Source organism: Homo sapiens, chromosome 8, assembly GCF_000001405.40.
Source record: "Homo sapiens chromosome 8, GRCh38.p14 Primary Assembly".
Lineage (NCBI taxonomy): Eukaryota > Metazoa > Chordata > Mammalia > Primates > Hominidae > Homo > Homo sapiens.
The window spans coordinates 61,262,512-61,278,689 of record NC_000008.11 but is presented as its reverse complement, the minus strand read 5'-3'; the positions used below and the strand labels follow the sequence as shown (position 1 = coordinate 61,278,689).

The following is a 16,178-nucleotide window of genomic DNA, read 5'->3' as shown; positions in this document are numbered from 1 at the left end:
TCCTGTTTCACTAAGAAAAATATATTTTATCTATATCTATATCTACATCTATACACACACACATTAATCCCTGATGACATTCACTAACACATATAACCAAATAAGTTTGTGTTATTAACACTAGCAGAGATCTTGGAAAGTTATGTCCAACACCTCCAAGTTATAACATCAGAAAAATTTTGAATATCTGCTTTGAAAACAAGACATGGGAGGAAAATCCTCAAAAAAAGGAAACACATCTATACGAGGATCCTTTTAAAATTGTAGAGGAAGATGGGCCTAAACATTTTCTAGCAATCCAAGACTGGTAAACAGAAATTAGTGTTACAGTAAACTTATGCTATTTAAAGAGATGTTCAATGGCATAGTGCTTCCTTAGCTTACTGGAGTATTTTTATATCTTTATTTAGTAGATGTAAAAAGTTTCAAGAGAGAAAAGGCCTTCTGTTTTTGCTCACCACTATGTTTATTGTGGGAGATCAGAATATACCTTCCTGAAATATGAAGGACTGTTGAGCTGAAGACAATTAAAAAGAAGCAGATGCAGGAATGCTCTCGGCCCCCACAATTTGCCTAAAATTAGGGCATAGATTTACAGTGACAATAGGTATCTACTCCCCACTCACCTGCCAAACCACCATTAGAAAGAACAAAAGTTAACCACTGAGGGCAGCTTTAGACCCTTCTAGGACTGGACATGATACCAGAGGACTCTACATTAACAAGCTTTACTAACTAACTTTTACCTGCTAGTTATTTGCCTTCCCACTAGTTGCTGCACACAGAGACTCAAAGTCCTTTTTTTTTGTCTTGTCACTTCTCTAAAGTACTGTTCTTTGTCGAAGATGATATATAAGCTGGAATTCAAATACATGCTAATAAACTTCTGTTTCTCTCTCATTAATCTGTCTTTCGTGTCAGGGGTTAATTCCAATTGAGAATCTACGGACGTTATTATCAACAAATATTTGTTGAAAGGATGAGTTTACTTGAGACTTCAGTAATTCCCTGTAATCTTGTTTTCCCCATAAGAACTTTATTTCTTCCCTACCCCCCCAAGCATTTGTTGGGAAGAACAAATGAGGCCATATATATAAAGCACCTAGCAGGCCTAGCTTTAACATTTATGGGAGCTGAAAGTAGTAATAGAGTAAAGACAGAGCCTCCCCTATACTCACCCATAGACCATCCCTTCTGTCTTCACCTGTGTCTTTGTCCTGCATTACTGGGGGCTTCAGATCTGTGTGCGGACGTCATACACAACAAAGCTCATCTGACCTGACCCCGAACCAGTAGCTCAGGCACCCTCAGGAAGCAGGACCTTATGCAGAAGTCCACACAAGCCCTGAATGCAGGTTTGGGGACAATTTGTGCAGAAGATCCTTGCATCCTGGTCCTTGGAACATGGGAGTGTGGTATAGACTCCAGATATCCATCAGCTGTGCACCTTGAGCTCCTCATCCTAGGAAAATGCTATGCACAGGGTGAGGGCAAAAGCTTCATTCTTTAGCCTAAAGGTAGTGCTTGGTGCTTAGAACATGCCTGGTATACTAAGTGCTATATCAGTGGAGAGAAAGAGAGAATGTGGCTCTGGAGTCAGCAAGACTTGACTCCAATCAGACTGAGTAGGTCAAAAGCTATAAAATAAAAAGATATTGATAAAGAATTTACCAGTAGGAGCAACAGCTCTCCTAAACATCAAGAGGTGTTAAAAGGGTAAGGAACAAGGCATCAAAGGAAAAATTTGACAGAGAGAACAATAGCAGCCACTGTGCTCGGATCTATTTGGGACATTGGACTGAAGCCAGCTTCTCTTCCTTTAAGGGCACCATCCCATACATAACTTGTCCTCCCTGACCCTCCCAGTTCAACCATTAGGTCACTTTTCTGTTTTTACATAATAACTAACATTTGAATCTTTAAAAACAAAAAAGTAAGATTTTTCATAAACACCTATTATCTTGTATCATTTTATTCATTTTTTTCTTTCAGTAATAGAATACTTACTGTGTTAAGTGCTAGGAATGCAAACCTGATTAAGACATAATCATTTGTCATTGAGGTGCATAGAGCCAAAAGAAGGAGCTGAATATGTGAGCAAATAATTATAGTGCAATCTGATAAGTGCTGCCTATGGAAAAATGCCGTGGAGCACTGAGGAGGTTTAAAAACTGAGTCTAGTTTAATTAAGATCTAAAAACAAACAAGAGAATGTTGCCAGAAGTACAACTTTACTGGTGCATGAATGCAAGGGTTTCTTGAGCAATCTTTCTAACTCATATACACCTTCCGCTGGGACTGTTTGGGATTATCCCTAGAAGAGAAAAACCAGAACAAGCAAAGGGGAAAAGAAAAATATATTCCAAGTTCATTGACCACACAGGGAATAAGAAATAAGAAGGGAAGGGAAGAAATTGAAAATAGAGTGTAAACTAATGTGGGTGGATATTGATGGCAACTGGTTGGACCAAGAATGACAGGAGAGTGTTTTCTAATTACCAATCTGGATTTTGTCCTTCATTTTGTGGGCACCTTCCCTGCTGATTGCTAATGGCTTAATCCAAGTATCTTAGAAAATCCCAAGCATAGGTTTCTTAATGGATGTTCAGTTCTGAGTCAGAAAGTGCAAGAAATCCAGAATTTCACAAACGAAACCTTTTTTTCCCCTTTAATGCTTAGATGATGTAGCAGTGACTCTCAATTAACCACATTAATGGCAACTTAAATTAAGAAATACCACTGCCTCTTATGCAAAACCATATGATCTTCTTAAAATGAAGTCCTGTTGACATAAAGAAATATTGCACGAGCAACATGACGGCTAAGAGAGAATAATTTCTAAACCTGTCATAGGGTCTTATTTATTTGAATTCAGTGGTTTGTTCTTTTGAGGGATGAATGGCATTGTAAAGGTAAGACCTTTGAGAGACTAACTTTAAGCTTATAGAAAGAAATGCTATAATCAAATTGGTTTTTATTGGTTGTTTTCTTCATTGCGCGAAATGAGCAATAAATTTAGCCTGTGGGGGGATTGAACTCAAGATCACAACTCAGCTTTCTCCCTTAGCTCTGTCAAATTCTTCAACCTTTCGAACTAAGCTTCCTTTTTACTATTCCTTCCAACATACTTTTGTTGTTTCACAAATATATGAAGTGTTATATTAACGACCTAAATTTTTAGTTTGTTCTGACTTTAATCTCTCCAATAAATACAACCATGTATGCAGTGGAAATGATGCAAGATGGGTAATTAGGATATTTGGGAGGTAAACTGTGTGTGAAACATATTGCTAACCAGTTACCTTGAATAAATTACTTAACTCACAGTTTTCTCATTTCCTTATTGATAAAAACTGGGCCACAGATTTAAATGCATCTAGGTGCCAGGCAGGTAGCATAAATTCATAAATGGGGTCAGGAATAAGGCAGCAGTAATGGTGGGGCATGTGGTAGACTGAAGATCAGTTTGTATTTCTTAAAGAAATTCAAAATAAAAACTAAAAAAATAAAAATAAAAGCAATCTGTAGGCCAGGCCAAGCCCAGAGGTCTCCTGTTTGCAATCTCTGGGTTCGATAATATTTTTCTTCCACTCCAATTATAATAATTTATAGCCTTTTGTCTTTCTTTTTTTAATTTTTGGCTTGAAGTCAAAATTTCCCAGCATCTGAGCAATTTATATTCCTGATTGCAAATTGGGCACCTTTAAAAACTTCATTAATTCTTTGCATCACCAGAGAGCCTTCCCATAAATTATTTATTTAGTTGGACTCTTTATGTATTACTCAATGATTGCAGTCTTTAAAGCTGTCTGACAACCCTATTTGTACTTGGAGAAATGGACAGAGTTGTAACATGAATTATGAAGACATAAGAAACTACAAGTGTTAATCAATTTAAGAAAGTAGCACCAAATTTCAAGTAACTCCATCTAAACAAAAAGGATGTGTTTTAAATCAGTTTTAAGCTACTCAAATTTAAAAATAGCCAGCGATTGTGTGCTCCTTTGCCATGATGTATCTTCAAAATGAAGATGAATTTTGGGGACCTGAACATCAATCTTGGTGTGATGAAAGAGAGAAGTAGCAATTTTCCTGATTTGATGAAAACATCTCAGATTCGCTACATGTTTAGAGACATAAGGTACAAATGGTAATGAACTCACTAATCAGAATTTGGTTAAGATGCAGGGGGAGAAGAAAGCAACAAGATAAAAATTCAAAAGAATTAAGTACATCCTTGGTTAAGTGATTCACCAGGGTAGAGAAATGGCCTTATCAATAACTATCAAGAAGATTTAAGCTCAGGGAAATAGAGCTAATTTCCACTAGAATAAGTGAGTATATTCAGCATCAATGCAGGGAATATAAAAAGTCAAAGAAATATTTAATCTAGTCCAAGCAGATGGCAACAGAATGAAATAGATTCCCTAAAATAGCACTGAAAGAATGAATATTACAGCATCTTTTAATCACCCAATGGCTCACAGCACAATGCTGGGCACAGTGAAGGTGTTCAATAAATTACTGTTGATTGCCTAATACCATGTGAAATGTTTAAAATATTCTGAATGTTATTTTTAAGAAATTTTAGCCAGAATAATTAGCCATTTCTGATACTTACATATTCAGAATGACTCTCTTATCTCCCTACAGCTGGCATCAAGACTTTTATATTGGAGGAGCCAAGATGGCCGAATAGGAACAGCTCCGGTCTACAGCTCCCAGCGTGAGCGACGCAGAAGAGGGTGATTTCTGCATTTCCATCTGAGGTACCGGGTTCATCTCACTAGAGAGTGCCAGACAGTGGGTGCAGGTCAGTGGGTGCGCGCACCGTGCGCGACCCGAAGCAGGGCGAGGCATTGCCTCACTCGGGAAGCGCAAGGAGTCAGGGAGTTCCCTTTCCGAGTCAAAGAAAGGGGTGATGGGCAGCACCTGGAAAATCGGGTCACTCCCACCCGAATACTGCGCTTTTCTGATGGGCTTAAAACACGGCGCACCACGAGATTATATCCCACACCTGGCTCGGAGGGTCCTACGCCCACGGAGTCTCGCTGATTGCTAGCACAGCAGTCTGAGATCAAACTGCAAGGTGGCAGCAAGGCTGGGGGAGGGGCGCCCGCCATTGCCCGGGCTTGATTAGGTAAACAAAGCAGCTGGGAAGCTCCAACTGGGCGGAGCCCACCACAGCTCAAGGAGGCCTGCCTGCCTCTGTAGGCTCCACCTCTGGGGGCAGGGCACAGACAAACAAAAAGACAGCAGTAACCTCTGCAGACTTAAATGTCCCTCTCTGACAGCTTTGAAGAGAGCAGTGGTTCTCCCAGCACGCAGCTGGAGATCTGAGAACGGGCAGACTGCCTCCTCAAGTGGGTCCCTGAACCCTGACCCCCGAGCAACCTAACTGGGAGGCACCCCCCAGCAGGGGCAGACTGACACCTCACACGGCAGGGTATTCCAACAGACCTGCAGCTGAGGGTCCTGTCTGTTAGAAGGAAAACTAACAAACAGAAAGGACATCCACACCAAAAACCCATCTGTACATCACCATCATCAAAGACCAAAAGTAGATAAAACCACAAAGATGGGGAAAAAACAGAACAGAAAAACTGGAAACTCTAAAAAGCAGAGCGCCTCTGCTCCAAAGGAACGCAGTTCCTCACCAGCAACGGAACAAAGCTGGATGGAGAATGACTTTGACGAGCTGAGAGAAGAAGGCTTCAGACGATCAAATTACTCTGAGCTACGGGAGGACATTCAAACCAAAGGCAAAGAAGTTGAAAACTTTGAAAAAAATTTAGAAGAATGTATAACTAGAATAACCAATACAGACAAGTGCTTAAAGGAGCTGACGGAGCTGAAAACCAAGGCTCGAGAACTACGTGAAGAATGCAGAAGCCTCAGGAGCCGATGTGATCAACTGGAAGAAAGGGTATCAGTGATGGAAGATGAAATGAATGAAATGAAGTGAGAAGGGAAGTTTAGAGAAAAAAGAATAAAAAGAAATGAGCAAAGCCTCCAAGAAATATGGGACTACGTGAAAAGACCAAATCTACGTCTGATTGGTGTACCTGAAAGTGATGGGGAGAATGGAACCAAGTTGGAAAGCACTCTGCAGGATATTATCCAGGAGAACTTCCCCAATCTAGCAAGGCAGGCCAACGTTCAGATTCAGGAAATACAGAGAACACCACAAAGATACTCCTCAAGAAGAGCAACTCCAAGACACATAATTGTCAGATTCACCAAAGTTGAAATGAAGGAAAAAATGTTAAGGGCAGCCAGAGAGAAAGGTCGGGTTACCCTCAAAGGGAAGCCCATCAGACTAACAGCGGATCTCTCAGCAGAAAACCTACAAGCCAGAAGAGAGCGGGGGCCAATATTCAACATTCTTAAAGACAAGAATTTTCAACCCAGAATTTCATATGCAGCCAAACTAAGCTTCATAAGTGAAGGAGAAATAAAATCCTTTACAGACAAGCAAATGCTGAGAGATTTTGTCACCACCAGGCCTGCCCTAAAAGAGCTCCTGAAGGAAGCGCTAAACATGGAAAGGAACAACCAGTACCAGCCGCTGCAAAATCATGCCAAAATGTAAAGACCATCGAGACTAGGAAGAAACTGCATCAACTAACGAGCAAAATAACCAGCTAACATCATAATGACAGGATCAAATTCACACATAACAATATTAACTTTAAATGTAAATGGACTAAATGCTCCAATTAAAAGACACAGACAGACCCATCAGTGTGCTGTATTCAGGAAACCCATCTCACGTGCAGAGACACACACAGGCTCAAAATAAAAGGATGGAGGAAGATCTACCAAGCAAATGGAAAACAAAAAAAGGCAGGGGTTGCAATCCTAGTCTCTGATAAAACAGACTTTAAACCAACAAAGATTAAAAGAGACAAAGAAGGCCATTACATAATGGTAAAGGGATCAATTCAACAAGAAGAGCTAACTATCCTAAATATATATGCACCCAATACAGGAGCACCCAGATTCATAAAGCAAGTCCTTAGAGACCTACAAAGAGACTTAGACTCCCACACAATAATAATGGGAGACTTCAACACCCCACTGTCAACATTAGACACATCAACGAGACAGAAAGTCAACAAGGATACCCAGGAATTGAACTCAGCTATGCACCAAGCAGACCTAATAGACATCTACAGAACTCTCCACCCCAAATCAACAGAATATACATTTTTTTCAGCACCACACCACACCTATTCCAAAATTGACCACATACTTGGAAGTAAAGCTCTCCTCAGCAAATATAAAAGAACAGAAATTATAACAAACTATCTCTCAGACCACAGTGCAATCAAACTAGAACTCAGGATTAAGAATCTCACTCAAAACCGCTCAACTCCATGGAAACTGAACAACCTGCTCCTGAATGACTACTGGGTACATAACGAAATGAAGGCAGAAATAAAGATGTTCTTTGAAACCAACAAGAACAAAGACACAACATACCAGAATCTCTGGGACGCATTCAAAGCAGTGTGTAGAGGGAAATTTATAGCACTAAATGCCCACAAGAGAAAGCAGGAAAGATCCAAAATTGACACCCTAACATCACAATTAAAAGAACTAGAAAAGCAAGAGCAAACACATTCAAAAGCTAGCAGAAGGCAAGAAATAACTAAAATCAGAGCAGAACTGAAGGAAATAGAGACACAAAAAACCCTTCAAAAAATTAATGAATCCAGGAGCTGGTTTTTTGACAGGATCAACAAAATTGATAGACCGCTAGCAAGACTAATAAAGAAAAAAAGAGAGAAGAATCTAATAGATGCAATAAAAAATGATAAAGGGGATATCACCACCGATCCCACAGAAATACAAACTACCATCAGAGAATACTACAAACATCTCTACGCAAATAAACTAGAAAATCTAGAAGAAATGGATAAATTCCTCGACACATACACTCTCCCAAGAGTAAACCAGGAAGAAGTTGAATCTCTGAATAGACCAATAACAGGATCTGAAATTATGGCAATAATCCATAGCTTACCAACCAAAAAGAGTCCAGGAACAGATGGATTCACAGCTGAATTCTACCAGAGGTACAAGGAGAAACTGGTACCATTCCTTCTGAAACTATTCCAATAAATAGAAAAAGAGGGAATCCTCCCTAACTCATTTTATGAGGCCAGCAGCATTCTGATACCAAAGCCAGGCAGAGACACAACAAAAAAAGGGAATTTTAGACCAATATCCTTGATGAACATTGATGCAAAAATCCTCAATAAAATACTGGCAAAATGAATCCAGCAGCACATCAAAAAGCTTATCCACAATAATCCAGTGGGCTTCATCCCTTGGATGCAAGGCTGGTTCAATATACGCAAATCAATAAATCTAATCCAGCATATAAACAGAGCCAAAGACAAAAACCACATGATTATCTCAATAGATGCAGAAAAAGCCTTTGACAAAATTCAACAACCCTTCATGCTAAAAACTCTCAATAAATTAGGTACTGATGGGACGTATTTCAAAATAATAAGAGCTATCTACGACAAACCCACAGCCAATATCATACTGAATGGGCAAAAACTGGAAGCATTGCCTTTGAAAACTGGCACAAGAGAGGGATGCCCTCTCTCACCACTCCTATTCAACATAGTGTTGGAAGTTCTGGCCAGGGCAATTAGGCAGGAGAAGGAAATAAAGGGTATTCAATTAGGAAAAGAGGAAGTCAAATTGTCCCTGTTTGCAGACGACATGATTGTATATCTAGAAAACCCCATTGTCTCAGCCCAAAATCTCCTTAAGCTGATAAGCAACTTCAGCAAAGTCTCAGGATACAAAATCAATGTACAAAAATCACAAGCATTCTTATACACCAGCAACAGACAGAGAGCCAAATCATGAGTGAACTCCCATTCACAATTGCTTCAAAGAGAATAAAATACCTAGGAATCCAACTTACAAGGGATGTGAAGGACCTCTTCAAGGAGAACTACAAACCACTGCTCAAGGAAATAAAAGAGGATACAAACAAATGGAAGAACATTCCACGCTCATGGGTAGGAAGAATCAATATCGTGAAAATGGCCATACTGCCCAAGGTAATTTACAGATTCAATGCCATCCCCATCAAGCTACCAATGCCTTTCTTCACAGAATTGGAAAAAACTACTTTAAAGTTCATATGGAACCAAAAAAGAGTCCGCATCGCCAAGTCAATCCTAAGCCAAAAGAACAAAGCTGGAGGCATCACACTACCTGACTTCAAACTATACTACAAGGCTACAGTAACCAAAACAGCATGGTACTGGTACCAAAATAGAGATATAGACGAATGGAACAGAACAGAGCCCTCAGAAATAATACCACACATCTACAACTATCTGATCTTTGACAAACCAGACAAAAACAAGAAATGGGAGAGGATTCCCTATTTAACTAATGGTGGTGGGAAAACTGGCTAGCCATATGTGGAAAGCTGAAACTGGATCCCTTCCTTACACCTTATACAAAAATCAATTCAAGATGGATTAAAGACTTAAACGTTAGACCTAAAACCATAAAAACCCTAGAAGAAAACCTAGGCATTACCATTCAGGACATAGGCATGGGCAAGGACTTCATGTCTATAACACCAAAAGCAATGGCAACAAAAGACAAAATTGACAAATGGGATCTAATTAAACTAAAGAGCTTCTGCACAGCAAAAGAAACTACCATCAGAGTGAACAGGCAACCTACAAAATGGGAGAAAATTTTCACAACCTACTCATCTGACAAAGGGCTAATATCCAGAATCTACAATGAACTCAAACAAATTTACAAGAAAAAAACAAACAACCCCATCAAAAAGTGGGTGAAGGACATGAACAGACACTTCTCAAAAGAAGACATTTATGCAGCCAAAAAACACATGAAAAAATGCTCATCATCACTGGCCATCAGAGAAATGCAAATCAAAACCACAATGAGATACCATCTCACACCAGTTAGAATGGCAATCACTAAAAAGTCAGGAAACAACAGGTGCTGGAGAGGATGTGGAGAAATAGGAACACTTTTACACTGTTGGTGGGACTGTAAACTAGTTCAACCATTGTGGAAGTCAGTGTGGCGATTCCTCAGGGATCTAGAACTGGAAATACCATTTGACCCAGCCATCCCATTACTGGGTATATACCCAAAGGACTATAAATCATGCTGCTATAAATACACATGCACACGTATGTTTATTGCGGCATTATTCACCATAGCAAAGACTTGGAACCAACCCAAATGTCCAACAATGATAGACTGGATTAAGAAAATGTGGCACATATACACCATGGAATACTATGCAGCCATAAAAAATGATGAGTTCATGTCCTTTGTAGGGACATGGATGAAATTGGAAAACATCATTCTCAGTACACTATCACAAGAACAAAAAACCAAACACCGCATATTCTCACTCATAGGTGGGAATTGAACAATGAGATCACATGGACACAGGAAGGGGAATATCACACTCCGGGGACTGTTGTGGGGTGGGGGGAGGGGGGTGGGATAGCACTGGGAGATATACCTAATGCTAGATGATGAGTTAGTGGGTGCAGTGCACCAGCATGGCACATGTATACATATGTAACTAACCTGCACAATGTGCACATGTACCCTAAAATTTAAAGTATAATAAAAATAAAAAAAAAAGACTTTTATATTGTGTTGAGTATCCAGCAGGGCCCATGAATGGCAAAGTCTCCTCCTCTGATCGATCCATCAATAAAGAGTTAATTAATAGCCTTTTTCATGCTCGACTTTGAAAAAGATTTCTTAATAGCAGTGAGCTGAATTTTCTTAAATAAATTAACTCAAAATGACAATATAGTTACAATAAATTAAAGCCTATTTTATGAGTTTTGAAACATAATCATGCTAACTGCGGAAGCTTACATTTGTTATATATATAAACAGGCAATAAACCCAAATTAGCTATGTACCTCAGTCATGATTATCATTTAATATATTTGCAGTTGAGAAGGATGCTTAGATTAGTCACAAGAAGAGGAAAATCTGAACTGGTATGGAAAGTTGTTTGCTTTTTAAATCACAGCTGTTTAAGCAGGATTTGGGAAATACGAATGGGTCTATCTTTCAAGGCTGAAGATAATTTTCCCTATAAAATTATAGTTGGCTAAATACTCCATGCTCAAAAAACAGAGGCTAAATGTGACTGATATAAAACAAAGAAAACTTTAAAAATAGTTGACGGATATAGATGTGTGTATGTATTGGAGATGGAGAATGGATTTATGGCTTATTTTATTCTATTTTGTTTCTGTGCATCTTAATTTTTAAATACAGCCAGGAACACAACACAAATTTAGATACAAGATTTATAAAATTATAAATACATAATTGAAAAATGAAAAACTTAAAAAATAATAATAATAATACCCTTTGATTACATGGATAGTTAGTCTCCATAAATACAAAGACATGCCCCCACACTACGCTTATCTTTCTTGCTGGTGGTATGCTGTGAAGGACTGAGTGGGTAACAGGGAAACTGAAATCTGCAGATGATCAGAACATGCATTTCTTTCTGCAAGTGAATAAAATGAAATGAGATAATAGGTTAATGGCAATTTTATTTCTACCATCAGGCACCCATTCTGGGCTTGAATGCCTTGTCTCTCCTGAGATTCTGTCTCTGCATCCTGCAGCCAGTTCAAAGTGAAACTGCCTCTGTGTGGCTCCACAGTGTTGGGATTTCAACAACAAGCATTGGGATTCACCAGGCATACGGGTTGACAAAAAAGAGCTACAATATTTTGGCTAGAATCCCAAATAGCAATCTATTTTTAGTCCATAACAAATATCCATTAGCTATCTATCATGAGCCAGGCACCTTTTAGACACTGGGGACTGTCAAATAAAAAAACAAATCTGGATTTATTAAGAGAGACTTTATTTGAAAAGATTATTGGAAGAGGGGAAAAGAACCATTGCATAGGGAGAGTGAAGCTATTGCCACAGGGACAACACTGATCTGTAATCATCTCAAGGGTTATGCAAAAAGGGCTTTTCTTTTACAGGAAGGAGCAAAGAGGCTAGGAAAAACATGTGTAGAGAAATAGGATGAAAGAGGATTTCAACAGGATCCAAATAGATGTGGAGAAATAGGATGAAAGGGTGGCATGATTGGATGATAGGTCCAAGAATGTTTTACCCAGAGGCCAACCTAGTCTCTGGGGCTGTCTGCTGGCTCAAGCAGAATGTGAGCCAAAGTTCTTTGGCCTGGGGGAAGAAAAGGATATTAACCAAATCTGGTTAACAAGCATTTTGTTCCAATTGATCAGTGGGGATTGGCCAGTGGGGAAAAGCAGTTCAGCTATGCATTTATGAGGCAGAAAAAAAAAAAAAAAAGAAAGAAAATTTGGAGGGTTTGTGTCTGGCATTGTCACAAGTAAACAAGGGAGGTCATCTGTTAATCTTATCAAAGATAAGGATGGGGAAGGATGGTTCTTTTAAAGTAAGCTGTTTCCCAGGACACAAAGGGTAAAGGGATTTCTCAACTTCTGCTGTCCTTCAGGATCATAGAAATCAGGTAAATTTTAACATTGTCAGGACATAGCAACAAAACAGACAGGCTCTCATCTGACATTTCATGGGGAGACGAACAGGAAGCCTTAGACCTGTCCATTGCTAGAACTCAGATCCTGCTAAGAGCCAGGAATAAACCCAGATGGAATAACAATGGCAGGCAATGGCTGGTGAGGGGGCTTCTCTGTGGAGACACAGGAAGATCTCTTGGAAGGGGTGACAACTGAGTTGAGAAATAATTGGTGCACAGGAGCAATCATGGCATGCTAGCTCATTCTGAATGTGGTAGAGAGAAGCCATAAGATGGGAAAGAAGGCAGGACCTGAGTGGCTGTGGCCCAGCAGGCCTGGTGAGGGGCCCAGATGCTGGCTGCTCTGTAGTAACAGAGGGTAAGTGGAGCAGGCAACAAGTTAGGAAGTATCCAGGACTTCAACAGAGAAGGAATTACAGTCTGGACAGGGGCTGCGATAATGGAATAGTGAGAAGTGGTCAAATTTAGAGTATATTTTGGAAGCAGAGCTGACAACATTTGCTAGTGAAACCTAGGTGTTGTGGGAAAATCATAACAATAGCAACAAGCCTCTCATAGAATTGACGATGTGTTAGGCACTAAATTGAGTGCTTTACATTTAAACTTCACAAAATTTCAAAGAAATAGGTAGTATTATTATCCTCACTTTACAGATTAAAAATGGAGATATAGATTATGCCCATTTATAGTTAAGGAAACTGAAGTAAAGAAAGATTAAGTAACTGATCCAAAGTCACCAAGCTAATAAGCAGCAGACCTGGGATTTGAACACTTGGCAGACTTCCATGCAGAGTCCAGCATGAATGTTTCTCATAATTTGGGCCTGAACCAGCGGGTGAATGGTAATGCCATCTGTTAAGATAAATAAGCCTTGATGGGAAGTAGATTTGAGGAGCAGAGAGTAGCTCAGTATAGGCCATGTTAATTTTCTAATGCCTATCATACATCCATGTGATAATGTTGAAAATTTAATTGGATGTATGTTTGGAGGTCATGAGGAGTCAGGACCTCCCCTTATGGACCTGTGGGACCCCAAGCATGGAAATAAAGGAAAATCTTGAGTTCCTTCAAGGGAAACTCCAGGCACCTAGCTAGCTCTGAGAAGTAAATAAACAACTTGATAAGCAAGAAATAGTAGCTTAAAACAATAGCCAATGAAGCTAGAATCACGGGCTAGCTGGTTTCCTATAGAAACTAAAGATAACCCCACAACGTATGTCTCTGAGTTGTTTTTCAGAAACCCCAATTCCCACCAACTTCAGATCTCCATTCCTACCAACTTCAGCTCTGCTGGTATGTGGACATCAGAGAAGGGGGAACTGGAAACTGAACTCTGACCATATCATTCTGTGTTCTAAATGTCTTCCTGAGGGGCCTGGAGGAAGTTACACTCACAAGCCAGAGCTAACATTCTTTTCTGCTGACCCCAAATTTTAAAATAAAGCTTCTCTTCCTTAACCAATTGCAATTCAAAAAATCTTTGAATCTGACTACGGTCTGTAAGCCTCCACTTCAAGATATCCTGCCCTTTTAGGGCGAAACCAATGTGTAACCTTGATGTATTGATTTACGATTTTGCCTGTAACTTCTGCTTTCCTGAAATTTACTCCTGCTGTTAAAAGACACTTACCTGTAAGCTACTGGGGAGGTCAGGACTCAAGCATTAGCTGCTTGATCCTCCTTGCTTGGCACCCTGAAAATAAATGCCTTCCATTTTTCCCACTGCAATCTTCGGTGTGCATATCTGGTATTACTGCACCAGGTGAGCAGACCCCATTTCATATCGTTAAACTCAGAGAAAGTTCCAATTTGGAGCTAGAACATTCAGCGTCTTCAAGCATATAGACGGCATTTAACATCGTGGGATTGAATGAGATCACCCAGAGAGATACAGAGGGAAGAAAAAGACAAGATCTGCAACCAGCTAATGTCAGAGGCTCAAGTGCCAGCTTGAGCCTCTATTATAGGTTCTCTTCATTTTGGCATGAGGGTATCTGTTCTGATACCTCCTTTTCACACTGTTTCAGCTTGAAGAGAAATTTTTGAAAGTCCACTGAAAGTTCATTTGCAATTATTTCAGGTAGTCTCTCTCTTTGTAAACAGAAACTCTCACACTCAATCTCTGCGACAATTACCACTTCCTCAACCCAAGATGCTTGTTTAGTGCCAGAACCCTAGACTGCTTGAAAGGAACACGTTGCAGTTTACTAAATGCTTTCATATCTACCATCTCATTTGATCTTCATAACCATCCCATGGCATAAGCATGGTACTGGCAATGATAACCCTTAATGAGGAAGGTCTAATGCTTAGAGAGACTAAATAGCTTGCCTAAGGCTCTATTATTAAGCAGCAGGACTCAAACCCATATCTTGTGATACCAATTCCTATGATCTTTCTGCAATGCCATGCCTGCTCAGGACACCTAGTATGCTGCATTATAGTGTTTGCAAATTCCATTCACTTCATCAAAAAAAGAAAAAGTAGAAATGCAAATATTTAACTTTCTCCTACTAGCCAAAATGTCTAAAGGTTGATACTGTTGAATCTCAGTACATCATGGATTATAAATAAGAGCCGACGAAAGGAGTTAGACAGGAACTGAGCAGCCTTCCAACACTTGCTGAAGGAGAGCTACCCAGTGGGGCTTCATTATTTTGCTAAACATGAATTCTCAAAGCATGAAACACATTTTCATATGTAAATACAAAACTATATTCAAAAGTCAACTGAAAATCAACTGTGCATTTTTAAACCACAATTGTATATTTGTGTTATTACAAATAATTGATAATTTATATTCAAAGAAAAGCATGGGGGTAAAAAATAGCAACATATAAAACCCAGACCCCATCCTCTGCTGGGGAAATGGCAGGGAGTTTTAGCAGAAATCTTAAGTAAATTATTGTAAACATGGAGAGGTTTTCAGTACCTTGTGCCAATCAAGCTGAATACTTAGCCGGGGACATCTTTGGGTCATTTTTCATCTATCAAGTTTCCCAGGGAGGTGACTCTTTCTGGCTCCTGCTCTTTCGAATGCCAGCTGATTCAATCACTAAAAATTACATTCATCTTCCTGCCCTGAGACAATGTGGCACAGCAGGTTTAACTAAATTGCCCATAAGATCATCTTAAATCACGGGCAGCTTCCCCCAACAACCCTCAGTTCTAGTGTCTACATCAGGAGCAGATGCGTAGTGCCTCAGGCTCCTAGAGCAACGAGTGCTGTTTGCTGCTGTAGCTCTGAATCTCCTGGTAGACCTCAGGCAAGAAAGGGCAAGTCAACTGTAAAGAACAGGGAGGGTGGGAGCATCCTGAACGCCTGCCACCCTGTCACTGTGCACTCTGCCTGCAACCTGGGAGGCAAGAAGTGATGTGTCAAGGGAAAACTCATCCAAATATGAGCTGGGTGTTGGTCAGCAGAGGGAGGATGCCTAATCTCTATCTTTCCAGGTGCTGAAGTCAAAGACAAGTTTAGCACATGTGCTTTCCTTGAAGTGGTACAATTCCTCTTTTCAGAATAAGTAATAAAAAACCTTCTCAATTCTTATCAGATGGGCCTGGAGACTCTACT

At 39.8% G+C, this 16,178-nt stretch overlaps 1 protein-coding gene across 2 annotated transcripts in view, besides 2 other annotated features; it reads right to left on the bottom strand.

Moving 5' to 3' along the window:
• Positions 1–16,178, bottom strand: part of CLVS1 (clavesin 1) — a 536,782-nt gene that overhangs the window by 222,940 nt on the left and 297,664 nt on the right. The gene's annotated exons all lie outside the window — the stretch shown is intronic.
• Positions 4,317–4,937: an enhancer, noted in NCBI's record as "NANOG-H3K27ac-H3K4me1 hESC enhancer chr8:62186312-62186932 (GRCh37/hg19 assembly coordinates)". NCBI's record gives its function as "activates a minimal SCP1, AML or CMV promoter by ChIP-STARR-seq in naive H9 embryonic stem cells {active_cell/tissue: H9 hESC(naive)}" and the evidence as "EXISTENCE:reporter gene assay evidence [ECO:0000049][PMID:30033119]".
• Positions 4,938–5,559: an enhancer, noted in NCBI's record as "NANOG-H3K27ac-H3K4me1 hESC enhancer chr8:62185690-62186311 (GRCh37/hg19 assembly coordinates)". NCBI's record gives its function as "activates a minimal SCP1, AML or CMV promoter by ChIP-STARR-seq in naive H9 embryonic stem cells {active_cell/tissue: H9 hESC(naive)}" and the evidence as "EXISTENCE:reporter gene assay evidence [ECO:0000049][PMID:30033119]".